Source organism: Homo sapiens, chromosome 6, assembly GCF_000001405.40.
Source record: "Homo sapiens chromosome 6, GRCh38.p14 Primary Assembly".
Lineage (NCBI taxonomy): Eukaryota > Metazoa > Chordata > Mammalia > Primates > Hominidae > Homo > Homo sapiens.
Genome location: NC_000006.12, coordinates 26,615,805 through 26,633,974, shown reverse-complemented (window position 1 = coordinate 26,633,974; position 18,170 = coordinate 26,615,805). Strand labels below are relative to the sequence as shown.

The following is an 18,170-nucleotide window of genomic DNA, read 5'->3' as shown; positions in this document are numbered from 1 at the left end:
AGAGTGGGATGGAGATGGTATAAAAATAGTTGCTCTAATTTACCCACCATTATAAAGTTTGTCCTAGTTTATGTCTGTCTGCTCTACCAACAGAGTAGATGCCAGAGTTTTAAGTGGCTTTCATTGTGAGAAGAGGATAAGAAGGAGGTATGATGTGGATGAAACAGGGAAGGGAAAAGGTACAGCTTTAAGTTTGTTTTTTCCTCCTGAGATTCATATAGAGTTGTGTAGGTAGAACAAGACTTGCAGCCTTCATGCTTATTTTTCTAACTTAAAGTGATACTACTCCCAACATTGAAGTGGACTGTTGTGAGAAATATTTCTGGGAAAAATAATAACCGTGACCCCCAGAAGTAACTGAAAGAGAAATGATGTGTGCTTCAGTGTCTCTGGTGAAGTAGACAGGGAAAAGTGCTATCCAGCGCACACACCGCAAGTGTTTCTTGAAATGGTCTTTACATTGTTTATTGAGAAAAGAAACTCATAGTGCAATTGAAGCTTCTTTGTCCCTGAAACATCAGCTTGTGTCATCACTTTCCCCAGGCAGGGATTTGGATTTTAAATGAGTGAGAGAAGCTGAAAGCAGTTAACACTTGCAGAGGGAATCCTTCCATCTGGCAAAGGAAACTTAAAAAGTTGGGGTAGGCCAGACGCAGTGGCTCACGCCTGTAATCCCAGCACTTTGGGAGGCTGAGGCGGGTGGATCACGAGGTCAAGAGATGGAGACCATCCTGGCCAACACCTTATTCTTTGAAAAAGCTAATAAAAAAGATAGTCCCCTAGACAGGAAAGTTAATAGAAAATAACAAAAAGATAATGCAGAGAATCAGTAAAACCAACACCTTATTATTCTTTGAAAAAGCTAATAAAAAAGGTAGTCCCCTAGACAGGACAGTTACTAGGAAAAGCAGGAAAAAATAATTAAGATTTTTAAGTGGTGGCATTTATGTATCTAAGACACTTGATGCAAACACTTAGACACTTAGACTCAAGCAGAATGAAGCCAAACACGGTGGCTTATACCTGTAACCCAGTACTTTGGGAAGTGGAGGCAGGCGGATTGCTTGAGCTCAGGAGTTAGAGACCAGACTGGCAAGACCCTGTCTCTACAAAAATTAGCCAGGCATGGTAGTGCCCACCTGTAGTCCTAGCTACTCTGGAGGCTGAGGTGGCAGGATCGCTTGTGCCCAGGAGGTAGAGGCTGCAGAAAGCTGAGATTGTGCCACTGCTCTCCAGCCTGGGTGACAGAGCCAGACCCTATCTGGAAAAAAAAAAACAAAAAAACTCAAGCCAAATGGCATAAAGATTGAGTTGTATGATTGTTTTCCCTTAGAGTACTGACTTTGTGGCCCCTTCATTGCTGTAATAGGTTCTGCTTCTGAAACTCAAGAGCTACAAAAAACAAACAAACAAACAAACAAAAAACCCAGTACCCATTTTGCTACTTTCTGCTATCTCCTTTCCCAGATGCAAGAACACAGACCAGTCTAAGAGTGTGACAAATGGATTTAGGAAATGGAGGTGGGCTGCAAATGCTGCTAAATAATACAAATGCCATTGTAACATACACACTTAGCTCAGTTCCAATTGAACTCAAATGCATGAGACTCCAAAGTGACAAGAGCAATCTTCTCCACCAAATAAAAACCTAGAAGTTAACCATACAGCAGAGTCAGTTTGGAAAGTAAGTCACAATCTATAGGGTTAAATAAAACCCATCTGATGAGAATTTATGATTTTCAGGGCATGACTCTCCAAACCCCTTAGATAGGAATTTAGGCAGGATAAAAAACTGGAGTTTAGTCCTCACAGGTAATAATCACTAAATTGCAGAATTTTAAAAAACAGGTTATAGAAGTTGATCCTGCAGTTACGCAGCTTATAAAGTGTTGGATTGATTTCAACACATGGCATCCTGGCAATTGTTTTATTTTATTTTATTTATTGTATTTATTTTTTGAGACAAGGTGTGTGTCTGTTGCCCAGGCTGGAGTACCGTGGTGCAGTCTCTGCTTACTGCAACTTTCACCTCCTAGGCTCCAGCCATTCTCCCACCTCAGCCTCCTGAGTAGCTGGGACTACAGGGACAAGTCACCACACCCAGCTAATTTTTGTAGAGATGGGGTTTTCACTATGTTGTCCAGCTGGACTTGAACTCCTGAGCCCAAGCTGAAGTGATCTGCCCACCTCAGCCTTCCAAAGTGCTGGGATTACAGAACTAAGCCACTGCACCTGCCCGCTTTTCTTTTCTAAGCTAGACTTGATGTCATGGGGAATGCCATTCTCTTTGTGAGCTATGCTCATATTTTCATTGTGAGTCTCAAGCAGAGGCCCATATGCCTACTAATAACCCACTTCTCATTGGTCCACATGTTAGTGGCTTGTATTATAGGAATCCCCAAGGATTCTTAAGCTTTGGTCTTGAGAACTCTCATACATTATGTTATTTTTAAGACAAATAGCTACACAGTGTCACGTGGCCTTTCCATCTGTTAGACAAGCCACTTAAGCATTCTTTATGCCATCATCATTGGCCTTTGTAACCCCTATTGATCAGTGCTCAAAACCAGAAAACCATTGTGTGCCCTTTACTCCTTTTTGTTTGAATTCTTAATTTAATTTACTCATATTTTCCAACTTAATTTTATCTCAATTACAGCCCTCAAGAATGAGACTGTATCCAGATACATTGTGAAATCTTGCTCTGTTTTGCTAACGGATAATTTTATTAGGTGATTCTTTCTCACGTTCATGGCATTTCACATTCATGACGTTTCCCCTCCTGGGTTTTATGTGCTGGACGAGTGGGTATAGGATGCATCCCCTCTACAGACATCACGAGCAAATACAGCACCTTCACAGGTCGGGCCCCTAATTCAAAATGAACCCTGGGGCCGGGCGCGGTGGTTCAGGCCTGTAATCCCAGCACTTTGGGAGGCTGAGGCAGGCGGATCACCTGAGGTTGAGAGTTCGAGACCAACCTGACCAACATGGAGAAACCCCATCTCTACTAAAAATACAAAATTAGCTGGGCGTGGTGGTGCATGCCTGTATCCCAGCTACTCGGGAGGCTGAGGCAGGATAATCACTTGAACCCGGGAGGCAAAGGTTGCAGTGAGCCGAGATCGCACCATTGCACTCCAGCCTGGGTAACAGGAGTGAAACTCCATCTCCAAGAAAAAAAAGCCCTGGGATGAAAGCAACTAAAGAGACGATCATTTTGACCCTGTGCTTCATTTTTTCCTGTGGGCTTGATATGATTGTTTCCTTCAGTCTAGGTTATTTTTCAAAAACTGAACCTGTTTTTGAATACTAAGAAGTTCATTGGGGTGAACTTTGCCTTTTTAAGCCCTGTGGTACTTCTTTGCAATGACAACCACCTCCACAGATTTTGGGCATCTGCTTTGAGAAAATGAGAAATCAACAACCAAAAAGAATGCAGTTCAATAATCATAATTCAATTACAAATATAATTATCTCAACTAATAAAGAATAAAACCTGATCATCCAGGCCAGACACAGTGGCTCAAACCTATAATCCAGCACTTTGAGAGGCCGAGGTGGGCGGATCACCTGAGGTCAGGAATTCAAGGCCAGCCTGACCAACATGGAGAAACCCCATCCCTACTAAGAATATAAAATTAGGTGGGCATGGTGGCGCATGCCTGTAATCCCAGCTACTTGGGAGGCTGAGGCAGGAGAATCGCTTGAACCCGGGAGGCAGAGGTTGCGGTGAGCCGAGATCACTCCATTGCACTCCAGCCTGGGCAACAAGAGCAAAACTCCATCTCAAAAAAACAAACAAAAAAACCCTGATCATCCATATTGTCTTGTCCTTAGAAAAATAAATCATAATTCCTCAAGCAGGAAAATAATATCTACTAGTAAGAAAATTAAAATAATTGTTCTGAGTGAAAAAAGCCAATACTAAAGTTTATATACTGTATGATTCCATTTATAACATTCTTAAAATGATAAATTATAGAAATGAACAGCTTAGTGGTTGTCATGTATAAGGGTTGGGGAGTGAGGTAGGTGTAGTTATCCAAGGATACATGATGTATCCATGGGGTGATAGAAATGTTCTGTAGCTTGGCTGTATCATTGTCAATATCCAGGTTGTATGATTGTACTAATTTTGCAAAATAGTGGTTATCATTGGAAGAAACTGGGATTTCTCTGTATGATTTCTTACAACTGCATGTGAATCCACATTTATCTCAACATTTAAAGGTTAAAAATTTTGAAACATTACATTTAAAACGTCTCCTTTGATCATCCTTACTTAAATCTAGTCACTTAATTCCTTTCCAAAGACAGTGTTATCACATTGTCATGTGTCCTTCTACAGACATTTGATACATATGCACATAAAAATATTAAGTAATATTTGGTAAGATGTAGAAATACAGTTGCACAATCTCTTTACACTTACATATATGTTTCCAAGAAAGAGAAATGCAGAAATGATGAGGAGAGATGATATCACTAGGTAGGTGTATATTAACAAATATACAATATATGAAACAATAATGGTAAGTGATTTACACAGAGTGAACAGCCTACTGAACAATAATATCACAAAATTTGAGAGGAAAGTTGTAAGACAAAAGTGTTCTAGTGTCATTCTATTGGGAGAATTGTAAACATGTTGATTAATTTTAATTGTTTAATTATGGGTCTTAAAGTTTTATGACAAATGCAAAAAGTAATAGATATAGAATATAGAGCTTCTAAACAAATGGGACACAAAAATTGATTTTGAAGAAAAAAAAAAGTACAGCCATCTCTCAGTAGGTGCAGCAAATTGTTTCCAGGACCCTGTGGTATACCAAAATCTGGACTTACTCAAGTCCAGCAGTCAGCCCTGCAGAACCACGGAAACTAAAAGTCAGCCCTCCCTGTAGGCAGATTTCACATCCCACAAATACTGTATTTTCCATTTGCGTTTAGTAGGAAAAAAATTCACGTAACAATGGACCTTGGTAATTCAAACCAGTGTGGTTCAAAGGTCAACTGTATAGCCATAAAAGACAAGAAAAAATGAATCATATTTTATATTGAAAAAATATTTTATATTGAAAAGAGAAAACTGAGTTCTAAGCTTGCAGTGGGAAAAGCTAAAAATCAGCCTAAGTTACACCACAGGATTTTCTAAAGACTCAGAAATTTATGACCATAGGTACTTCTGGATCTGAGGGATAATTGGTGAAGGGCTAAAATAAGGAAGAATGTATAAAAGCTCTCTCTCTCTCTTGTCTTTCCAACCCTGGCAGAAAGAGGATGAAACAGATAGTATCTTGAATGAAGGACACAAGGCACAGATGATGTGATGGGTAGCATGGAGTGGGAGGATGGAAATAGAATTATCACACAAATTTATTCATGCTAGCTACAAAATCGTGGCAGTCTTATCCAACTCTACTGCCAGATTTCAGGCTAGGCAGTCCTTAGCTTCCAGGCATGTCATTGAAAGAGTTCTACTTGGTAAATCTGACCAAGTGAAGAGGAGAGCTGTAAAGAAACGAACATCATCAATGCCGAAAACATGGCCCTACCACATTACCCTCTAGTGAAGATCACTGTCAACAAGCCCCACTACATTTTAAATGTTGCCAGTTTTTTTGTTTTTTTTTTGTCTTGTTTTGTTTTGTTTGAGATGGAGTCTTGCTCTGTCGTCCTGGCTGGAGTGCAGTGGCGCGATCTCTGCTCACTGCAACCTCTGCCTACTGGGCTCAAGCAGTTCTCCTGCGTTAGCCTCCTGAGTAGCAGGGATTTCAGGGATGCGCCGACATGCCCGGCTAATTTTTGTATTCTTAGTAGAGATGAAGTTTCCCCATATTGGCCAGGCTGGTCTTGAACTCCTGACTTCAAGTGATCCACCCACCTCTGCCTCCCAAAGTGCTAGGATTACAGGACAGGCGTGAGCCATCGTGCCTGGCCTGCTGCCAGTTTTTAGCCTATGATTTTTAAACATGGATAGATCAAATAAGAAACACCAGGCATCTGAAAAAAATCTGAAATAAATGAATGGGAGGGAGAACCATGGATGACAGAATATTCAAGGAGAAAGTTATCAGTATGCACACACAATAAAAGTTACACGTAAATGAAACAAGGAAAAGATGTTGATGTTAAAAATATGATAGCAAAAATGAAAAATTCAGTAAATGTTTGGAAAATAAAGATGAGGTTTCAGACAAAAAGAATTTTGATAATAAGAAAGAGAAAAAAAATGTTAGAGGAACAGCCCAGGAATCTCCAATGCCAAAGTATTTGGAATTCCAAAGAAAACAGATAAAATAGTTCATTAGATAAAAGAAAATAAATGTTAACCCTAAAGAATATAGGTTTTCAAATTGAAAGACCTGCCAGTAGGCTGGGTGCGATAGCTCACACCTGTAATTCTAGCACTTTGGGAGGCTGAAATGGGTGGATAACTTGATGTCAGGAGTTCCAGACCAGCCTGGGCAACATGGCGAAATCCCATCTCTATTAAAAATACAATAGTTAGCTGGGCATGGTGGCACACACCTGTGGTCCCAGCTACTCAGGAGACTGAGGTGAGAGGATTACCTGAGCCCAGGAGATCAAGGCTGCAGTGAGCCATGCACTCCAGCCTGGGTGATAGAGTGAGATTCTGTCTCAAAAAAAAAAAAAAAAAAAAAAAAAAGAAAGGAAAGAAAGACCTAGTATCTCAGAACTGTGGATAAAATGGACCCAATTAAGGCATGTCATCTTGAAATTCAAAACACTACGATGAAGAGTAGATTTTATTCACTTTCTCACAGAAAGATACAGATAACATACCAAAACTTAGGAATGAAAATTTTCTTCTTATGGCAACATTGAAAGCTATAAAACAATGGTCATGCCTTTAAAATACAGAAGTAAAATGTTTTGTGGCCTACAATTCCTTAACCCATCAGATTTTTAATTAAACGTGAGGGTTAGCCTGGCGTGGTGGCTCACGTCTGTAATTCCAGCACCTTAGGAGGCCAAGGCGGGTGGATCACTTGACATCAGGAGTTTGAGACCAGCCTGGCCAACATGGTGAAATCCTGTCTCTACTAAAAATACAAAAATTTGCCGATTGTAATGGTGTGCACCTGTAATCCCAACTACTTGGGAGGCTGAGGCAGGAGAATCGCTTGAGCCTGGGAGGCGGAGGTTGCAGTGAGCTGAGATGGCGCCACTGCACTCCAGCCTGGACAATAGAGTGAAACCCTGTCTCAAAAAAAAAAAAAAAAAAAAAAGTGAGGGTGACAAAAATACATTTAAGGTCTCAAAAATCTATCCCAAATGCACATTTTCTCAGAGAAAATTTGACAAGAGTTTCTCTCTTGTTGCCCAGGCTGGAGTGCAATGGCACAATCTGGGCTCACTGCAACCTCTGCCTCCCGAGTTCAAGTGAATCCCATGCCTCAGCCTCCCGAGTAGCTGGGATTACAGGCATGTGCCACCATGCCCGGCTAATTTTTTGTATTTTTAGTAGAGACAGGGTTTCACCATGTTGGCCAGGCTGGTCTTGAACTCCTGACCTAAGGTGATCCACCCGCCTTGGCCTCCCAATTTGATGAGATTACAGGTGTGAGCCACTGCGCCTGGCCAAGAAAAATATTGAGTGATATGATCCATTGAATTGAGTGAAGAAACCAAGCCACGAGAAGATATGAGATAGAGGGAAAAGGAGATTTAATACTGCAGAAACACAAAATAAATATCCAAAATAATGATAGGAGAGTTACTGGAAGAGAATGAAATCTAGACACAGACCTTACAACTTTCACAAAATTTAACTCAAAATGGATTATAGGCCTAATCTGTAAAACACAAAACTATAAAACTTCTACAAGATGATGTAGGAGAAAATCTAGGGACACTTGATTTGATGATTTTTTTTTTTTTTTAGGAGTTTTGCTCTTGTTGCCCAGGCTGGAGTGCAATGGTGCCACCTCTGCTCACTGCACCCTCTGCCTCCTGGGTTCAAGCAATTCTCCTGCCTCAGCCTTCTGAGTAGCTGGGATTACAGGCATGCGCCACCATGCCCAGCTAATTTTGTGTTTTTAGTAGAGATGGGATTTCACCATGTTGGTCAGGCTGGTCTCGAACTCCTGACTTCAGGTTGATCCACCTGCCTCAGCCTCCCAAAGTGCTGGGATTAGAGGTGTGAGCCACCACGCCCGGGCAATGGTGATTTTTTTTAGACACGACACCAAAAGTACAATCCATGAAAGACATAACTGGTAAGCTGAACTTCACTAAAATTGAAAACTTCTCTGTGAAAGATCGTGTTAAAAGAATGAAAAGACAAGCCACATATTGAGAGAAAATGCTGGCAAACCATGTATCAATAAAGAACTTGTATTCAAAATATACAAAGAAGGCTTTAAAAATTCACTAAGAGGGGCCGGGCGCGGTGGCTCACGCCTGTAATCCCAGCACTTTGGGAGGCCGAGGCGGGTGGATCATTAGGTCAGGAGATCGAGACCATCCTGGCTAACAAGGTGAAACCCCGTCTCTACTAAAAATACAAAAAATTAGCCGGGCGCGGTGGCGGGCGCCTGTAGTCCCAGCTACTCGGGAGGCTGAGGCAGGAGAATGGCGTGAACCCGGGAAGCGGAGCTTGCAGTGAGCCGAGATTGCGCTACTGCAGTCCGCAGTCCGGCCTGGGCAACAGAGCGAGACTCCTCTCAAAAAAAAAAAAAAAAAAAAAAAAAAATTCACTAAGACAACAACCCAATTTTTAAAATGGCAAAAGATCTAAACAGACACCACCAAAAAAGATATACAGATGACAAATTACCATATGAAAAGATACCCAACATTGTATGCCATTAGGGAACTGAAAATTAAACCAACAATGAAATTGCATTACACACTATTAGAATGTCAAAAATCCAAAACACTGACACCACCAAATGCTGGCCAAGATATGCAACAGTAGAAATTCTCATTCATTGCTGATAGGAAAAAGCCATATGATACAGCCACTTTGGAAGACATTTTTGCAGTTTCTTTTAAAGCTAAACATAATCTTAACATATGATGCAGCCATCCTATTCCTTAATATTTACCCAAATGAGTTAAAAACATATGTCCACACAATAACCTGCACACAGATGTTTATAGCAGCTTTATTTATAATTGCCAAAACTTGGAAGTAACCAAGAAGTCCTTCACTACGCAAATGGATAAACAAACTGTGGTACATCTATACAATGGAATAGTATTCAACAAATAAAAAGGAATGAGCTATCAATCCACAAAAAAGACATGGAGGAACCTTAAAAGCATTCTTCTAAGTGAATGAAGCCAATCTTAAGGGGCTACATACTATATACTTTCAACTATATGACATTCTGAAAAGGATAAAACTATTAGAAGACAGTAAAAAGATCAATGTTCTCCAGAATGGGGGTGAGTTGGGGGAGGGACAAATGGATAGAGCACTGGGAATTTTTAGGTCAGTGAAACTATTTTTATGATACTGTAGTGGTAGATATATTACATTATACATTTGTTAAAACCCCTATAATGTACAACACAAAGACTGAACCCTAATGTGAACTATGGGCTTTAGTTAAATAATAATATATCAATCTTGGCTCATCAGTTGTAATAAATGTATCACACAAATGTAATATATTAATAGAAGAAACTGTGGGTGGTGTGGGGGCATATAGAATCTCTCTGTACTTTCTGCTCAAGTTTTCTATAAACCTAAAAGTACTTCAAAGAAATAAAGTCTATTCGCCAGGAGTGGTGGCTCACACCTGTAATCCCAGCACTTTGGGAGGCTGAGGCGGGCAGATCACCTGAGTTTGGGAGTTCGAGACCAACCTGACCAACATGGAGAAACCCCGTCTCTACTAAAAATACAAAATTAGCTGGGCATGGTGGCACATGCCTGTGATCCCAGCTACTGGGGAGGCTGAGGCAGGATAATCACTTGAACCCGGGAGGCGGAGGTTTGTGGTGAGCTGAGATTGCACCATTGCACTCCAGCCTGGTCAACAAGAGCGAAATGTGGTCTCAAAAAAAAAAAAAAAAAAAAAAGGAAAAAATAAAGTCTATTAATTAACATTTTTAAATTTTATTAAAAGATGAAGTCAAAAAATATAATATTTTAATGGTTGCTGAAACAGTTGTGTCCTTCTTAAAATAAAAATACTGGTTTTCAGATATAAAGACTGACACAATAACCGTCAACAAATTGATTGCAAAAAAGATTTTGTCTCTGGCCTTAAATACCTTCATCATTAAGTGGTATTCATATTATACTCTATGAGAAAAATTAAAGGCTCTGAAGATGTTATGCCTTTCCTATCTATTTCATCTTTACATATCCACTATTCATCTTTATAATACCCTTAATCTAGTAACACTTTCCCTTATCTCATTTCTCTTTTTCTTTCTCTTTCTTTCTTTCTTTTTTCTTTCTTTCTTTCTTTCTTTCTTTCTTTTCTTTCTTTCTTTCTTTCTCTTTCTTTCTTTCTCTCTCTCTCTTTCTTTCCTTGTTTCTTTTTTTTTTTTTTTTTAACAAAGTCCCTGTCTTTTGCCCAGACTGGAGTGCAGTGGTGTGAACATGGCTCACTGTAGCCTCTGCCTCCTGGGTTCAAGTGATCCTCAGCCTCCTGAGTAGGTGGGCCTACAGGCATGCGCCACCACACGCAGCTCATTTTTTTTTTAAATTTATTTGTAGAGATGGGGTTTCGCCATGTTGCCCAGACTGGTCTCGAACTCCTAGGCTCAAGCCATCCACCTGCCTCAGCCTCCCAAAGTGCTGGGATTATAGACATGAGCCACTGCTCCAGGCCCACACAATATTTTAACTTCTGTTTGTGAACTACCCATACCCCTTATAGTTCTCTTGGAAACTCCTTTGGATAACCCTGATTTAATTTTGTTTGTTCAAGGTTCATACCTGAAAATAAAAACTAAAACTATCAATCAAGCTAAGCCAAAACTGACATATTCACCATTGGTATTTGAACCTCTTCTAGAAGCTAAATCAGCAAACAGCTAAATCAATGTCTTCAACTGGAGGTGAAGACAGCTAGTACAGGCCAAACCCTATTTTTCTAAAAAAATTAACTTCCCATCTCTTCCTTACTGATTTCTGCAGGTTCCTCTGGGGTGCATTCTGGTTTACCACAGGAAGCTTAATAAATCTAATTTTGTTTATCTGTAAGTGTGCTCCCTGCTGGCCTTTGGTTGGTGGGCTTTTGCATTAAGTGTAATATTCTATAAGTAAAATTATTAAACTTGTGAAAAAAGCAGAAGAAAATCTTTGAGATCTAGTGCTAAAAATTAAGAGTTCTTAGACTTGACACCAAAATTACAATCCATAAAAGTAAAAATTGGTCAATTTGCCAGACCTCTTGGTGTAATGATTAGCACTCTGGACTTTGAATCCAGGATCCACTGGGACCTGATCATCTTCATTCCTCAAAACTGTGAAAGACGTCAAAACTAAAAATATATGTATGAGAAACTGGCATAGCCAAGAGGAGCCTAAGGAGATATGACAACTAAATGTGGTACCTTGGATTGGATCTTGGAACATAAAAAGGACATTAGGTAAAAACTAAGGAAATATGAATGCTACATCTATTAGTTAATAATGTGATAATAATGTAATAATTAGTTCATCAATTGTAACAAATAATTATACTGCTATAATATGTTAATAATAGAAGAAATTACAAGAAGAAGAAATAAAAGGCATCCAGATTGGAAAGGAAAAGGTAAAACCATCTCTATTCACAGATAACAGAATCCTCTATGAAGAAAATCTCAAAGAATCTACAAAAGGCTACTTGAGCTACTAAACTAATTTAGCAAAATTTCAGTTTTCAAGATCAACACACACCAATCAGTTGTGTTAATATACACCAACAGTGAATAATCAGAAAGGGGAAATTAACAACCAAGTCCATTTATAATAACATCTAAAATAATTAACTGCTTAGGAATAAATCTAACCAAGAAGCTGAAGGACATGTATACTGAAAACTACAAAACATTGCTGAAAAAAATTTACAAAAAATAAATGGAAAGACATCCCACATTCATGGATAGGAATACTTAATATTCCACTGCTAACACTACCCAAACTGATCTACAGATTTAAAGAAATCTCTATTAAAAATCCAACAGCCCTTTTCACCTAAATGGAAAAGCAGATTCTCAAGTGCTTATGGAATTGCAAGGAGCCATTAACAGCCAAACCAATCTTGAAAAATAAGAATAAAATTAAAGGATTCAAACTTCCTGACCTGTCTGAAACTTACTATGACACTCCAGTAATCAAAACTGTATAGTAGTAGCATATGAAGATATAGGTCCATGGAATAGAATAGTGTCCAGAAATAAATCCTCAGATATATGACTAACTCATTTTTGATAGGGTGGCAAGAGAATTCAATGGGGAAAGGAGAGCCTTTTCAAGAAATGGTGCTAGAGACCCACATATTGTGAACAAAAGTTCTCTGAAAAGAAATTTACAGGAAAGTGACTTTTGTCCAGTGAACAGTTTGCAAATGGGGAGATGCAGCAGCCTTTAAAAACAAAGGTGTGTTCCAGAGGACAAAGAGAGGGTTTTATAGCAAACGTTCCCGCCAAGGTTCCCAATTAGTCCCTTTATGCAAATTAAAGTTTGAAATTTGCTTTAGTTCCCATGGGTTGATGCAGCTGAGTTCTGATTCATCAATACAGCTGAGCCCTGATTGGGTGGTACAGGTGAGCTCTGATTGGTTGGCTCAGATCAGCTCTGAAAGTTCCTAAGTTGAACAGAGATAGCGTTTTCAAGGAATCTCAGAGTACCGGTGTGACCTCTAATCAATAAAAGGCCACTTGGCTGTATTTTAAATCTAGGCCCAATTAGCCACTTAAGGTCCATCTTAAAGATTGGCTCTTTCAGGTTCACATTTGTTCACAATGTGAAAGATTCAAGTTAGACCCTTACTTTATATCATACACAAAAATTAAACTCAAGAGCTAAAACTATAAAACTTTTAGAAAAAGAATTGGGGGAAATCTTTATGACATTGGATTTGACAACGATTTCATAAATATGACAGACACCAAAAGTCCAGGCAGCAAAATAAATAAATAAATTGGACTTCATCAAAATTAATAACTTGTGTATCACAGTACACTATCATAGAAAGTAAAAGACAACCTACAGAATGGTAGAAGATATTTGCAAATCATATCTCTGATAAGAGATTAATATCCAAAATGTGTAAAGAACTCCTACAACTCAGTAGCAAAAACAACTAATTTTAAAATGGGCAGTGGACTTGAATAAACATTCCACCAAAGAAATGTTAGGCTAGTTCTAGTATCTAATATCTAAGAAGTCTTTGCCTAATGTCAGCTCACAAAATTCTTCTCATGCTTTCTTCTAAAAGTTTTAATAGCTAATTTAGATTTTACATTTAGGTCTATGATTCATATTAAGTGAATTTTTATATACAGCATGAAGTTTTGGTGAAGGCTTGTTATTTTTACATACGGATGCTGAATTGTTTCAACAGCGCTTGTTAAAAATACTTTATGTGGGGTGCAGTGGTTCATGCCTGTGATCCCAACACTTTGGGAGACAAAGGCAGGAGGCTGCTTTGAGCTCAGGAGTTTGAAACTAGCCTGGGCAACATAATGAGACCCCATCTTTACAAAAAAATGAAAATTAGCCCGGCATGGTGGTGCACACCTGTAAGTCCCAGCTACTTGGGAGGCTGAGGTAGGAGGATCACTTGAGACCAGGATATGGAGGCTGCAGTGAGCCATGATCATGCCACTGCACTCCAGGCTGAATGACAGAATGTGACCCTGTCTCAAAAAAACAAACAACAACAACAACAAAATACTTTATTTTTTCTCCGTTGAATTCCTTTGCACCTTTATCAAAAATCAATTGCCCACACTCACGTAACAGTGTGTGTTCAAAAAGGCCTTTTCAAGTTTCACTGAAGATGCTACATTCAGAGTTTCATCCCTGAACTGTTTGTGATCTGTACTGTTTTCCAGTGACATCTGTTTACCCACTGCTACTTCTTTAACTGTAAACGGCCTGTGATTCAGTTAGTATGTTAAAAAAAAAAAAGTAATCTTCAATAAAAATACATATCTGAATCAGGAATTATGGCTGTAGATTCGGCTAAAAAAGACAAAGCTGCTCATGAGCAAGTGTCTTCTGAATCTGTGTTTGACTTTGTAGTTCTTTGCTTGTTATCTTTTCTATGGCAAAAAGTTATACTTTATTATTTTTTGGTCCATTTTCTTTTTTAAAGAATAGAAAATTCCAGAACGTTTTTGTTGTTCTTTTTTGTGGCATTTCTCAAGAAACCTATCAAAGATCATGATTCCTTGAAAACCAGGAGAAATAAGGCCAGGTACATGCTCTCTGTTGTTCATCTTTGAACTGAGCATTAAATCTCTGCACAACGTGTATAATTTTGAAAGCATCCTTTTTTTTTTTTTTTTTTTTTTGAGACACGAGTTTTGCTCTGTCACCCAGGCTGGAGTGCAATGGCGTGATCTTGGCTCACTGCAACCTCTGCCTCCCAAGTTCAAGCGATCCTTCTGACTCAGTCTCCTGAGTAGCTGGGACTACAGGCGCACGCCACCACGCCTGGCTAATTTTTGTATTTTTAGTAGAGACGGGGGTGTCACCATATTGGTCAGGCTGGTCTCAAACTCCTGACCTCGTGATCCGCCCACCTCAGCCTCCCAAAGTGCTGGGATTACAGGCATGAGCCACTGCGCCCGGCTGAAAGCATCCTTTCCTATAATGTCAGTCTGTCAATTTTAAATATTTTCTTCATTCTATATTGACATGATTAGAACATTAATATGCAGACAGATTTTTTAAAGAAAATGAGGAGATGATGGAGTCCCTTGAGTTTTTGACACTAAAAGAATAAGTGAATTATTCTTAAATCTCTTAATATTTTTAGCTATGATGTTATGATTAAAATTATTGATTTTGTATGAGTTCACAGTTGTTTTCTTATTCATTTCCATTATACATAGTAAATGGCCTTGCTCTAGATACCACACACATATTTTTGATAATATCATTCCAAACTCTTTCCTCTGTCTCTACTCCAAATAAAGTAGTATAATTTTCAAGGAAAAAAAATCAACTATGTATATTTGTATGTGTCTATTTCTGGACTCTCTGTTCTATTTCACTGGTTTGTGAGTCTATCTTTTCACTAATACCAAACTTTTTTTTTGGGTGGGGGGTGGAGGGGAATGGAATCTTGCTCCCTTGACCAGGCTGGAGTGCAGTGGCATGAACTTGGCTCACTGCAACTTCTGCCTCCCGGGTTGAAGCCATTCTCCTGCCTCAGCCTCCTGAGTAGCTGGGATTACAGGCATGTGCCACCACACCAGGCTAATTTTTGTATTTTTAGTAGATACCGGGTTTCACCATGTTGGTCAGGCTGGTCTCGAACTCCTGACCTCGTGATCCGCCCATCTTGGCCTCCCAAAGTTCTGGGATTACAGGCGTGAGCCACCGAGCCCAGCTGCCAAACTTTTAATGACTGTTTCTTTATAATAATTTTTATAATAGCTAGTTTGAGATCTCCAATTGTGTTCTTTTTCAAAATTGTTTTGGCCATTCTGATTCTTTGCCTTTCCATATGAATTTCAGAATCATCTTGTATACATATACAAACAAAATAATGATGGGTTTTAATTTAAATTGGGTTACATTCATAGATCAGATTGTGAGAACTAACATCTAAACTGTGTTTAGTCTTCCAATCTATGAACATGGTATATCCCTCCATTAATTTATCTGTTCTTTGATTTAGGTCTATAACACTTTGTAAATTTTAATATACAGACTCTGCACATGTTTATTAGATTTATATCTAAGTAATTTAATATTTTGGAGCTTCTGTACACAGTATGTTTTAAAATTTTAGTTTCCAATTATTCAATGATAGTATATATAGTATTGATTTTTTTATGATGAATTTGTATTCTGCAAACTCATTACTTATTGGTGCTAAGAATCTTTTATTTTTTATTTTTTTGAGATGGAGTTTCACTCATGTTGCCCAGGCTGGAGTGCAATGGTGCAATCTCAGCTCACTGCAGCCTCTGCCTCCCAGGTTCAAGCGATTCTCCTGCCACAGCATCCCGAGTAGCTGGGATTACAGGCATGCACCACCAAGCCCGGCTAATTTTGTATTTTTAGTAGAGACAGGGTTTCTCTATGTTGGTCAGGCTGGTCTTGAACTCCTGACCTCAGGTGATCAGCCTGCCTGGGCCTCCCAAAGTCCTGGGATTATAGGCATGAGCCACCATGCCCAGCCAGTGCTAAGAACTTTTTATAGATTTCCTTGGATTTTCTATGTAGACAGAAATGTCATCTGTGAATGGGAACATTTTTTATTGCTTCCTTTCCACTTTTTATGCCAATTTCTTGCCTTATTACACTGTCAAAAATATCAGTAAGACATTGAATAAGAGTGATGATAGTGGGCATCTTTAACTTGTACCTGAACTTCAGGAAAAGCATTCAGTCTTTTGCCATTAAATATGCTGTCTAATATACATAATTTGTAGATGTCATTTATTAGGTCAAAAATAGTTGCTAGGAACAGCAAACTCCTCCTAGTTTGCTGAAAGTTTTAATCATGAATGGTGGTTGATTTTTGTCAAATGCTTTTTCACATTCATTGATATGATAATGTGATTTTCTTTTTTAATCTGTTAATGTAGTAGAGAATATTGATTGATTTTCAAATATTCAAACAGCCTTGCACTTAAGGGATTAACCCCATTTACCAGTGGTGCGTTTTTAAATAGATTTATTTTTTAGAGAAGTTTTAGGTTTACAGCAAAATTGAGCAGAAAGTACAGAGAATTCCGACATACCTGCTACCTCCTCCACTATGCAGAACCTCCTCCACTATCAACATCCTGTACCAGAGTGGTACATTTGTTAAAATTGGTGAGCCTACACTGACACATCACTATCACTCAAAGTCTATAGTTTACATTAAAGTTCACTCTTGGTATTGTACATTCCATGGACTTTGACAAATGTATAATGACATGTATCCACCATAATAGTATCATATAGAACAGTTTTTCCCTAAAATCCTCTGTACTTTGTCTATTCATCCCTCCCTACTACCCTCCCTTACTCTTAACTCCTAGAAACCACTGGTTCTTACATTGTCTTCATATAGTTTTGCCTTTTCCAGAATGTCATATACATTATTTGGAATCATACAGGATGTAGCCTTTTCAAATTGGCCTTTTTCACTTAGTGGTATGCATTTAATGTTCATTTTGGGTGGGTGTAAATGGTATTGTGTTTTTAATTTCAAATTCAACTTGTTTTTTGTTGGTATATAGAAAACATTTCACTTTTGTATATTAACCTTATATCCTGCAACATTGCTATAATCACTTATTAGTTCCAAGAATTTTTTTCAGTTCTTTCAGATTTTCTACATAGACAATACTGTGAACAAAGACAGTTTTTATTTCTTCCTTTCCAATCTGTATACCTTATATTTTCTTTTCTTGTCTTATTGCATTAGCTAGAACTTCCAGTAAAATGCTGAAAAGGAGTGATGAGAGGGACATCCTTACCTTTTTCCTAATTGTATTTCTAAATATATATTGCCAGATTCAAATTCCTATTATTTTGCTGGGAATTTTTGTGTCTATATTTATGAAGGATAGTAGTAGTTTTTCTTTTCCTGTACTGTCTTTATTTGATCTTGATATCAGGATAATGTTGACTCTTCCAATGAACTGTTTCACATCTCAGCCTCCAAACTCTTGGTTTCCAATCCATTCTTCCAAGTTGCCAAAATGAACTCTTTTTTTCTTTGCCTTTAAAATTAAAATTATGGCTGGGCGTGGTGGCTCACACCTGTAATCCCAGCACTTTGGGAGGCCGAGGAGGGTGGATCACCTGAGGTTGGGAGTTCAAAACCAGCCTGACCAACATGGTGAAACCCTGTCTCTACTAAAAATACAAAATTAGCTAGGCATGGTGGCACATGCCTGTAATCCCAGCTACTCGGGAGGCTGAGGCAGGAGAATCGCTTGAACCCAGGAGGCAGAGGTTGTGGTGAGCCGAGATCGCGCCATTGCACTCCAGCCTGGGCAACAAAAACAAAACT

At 38.8% G+C, this 18,170-nt stretch overlaps 1 pseudogene; it reads left to right on the top strand.

Annotated features, from left to right (window-relative positions):
* VN1R14P (vomeronasal 1 receptor 14 pseudogene) lies at window positions 2,239-2,890 on the top strand (annotated as a pseudogene).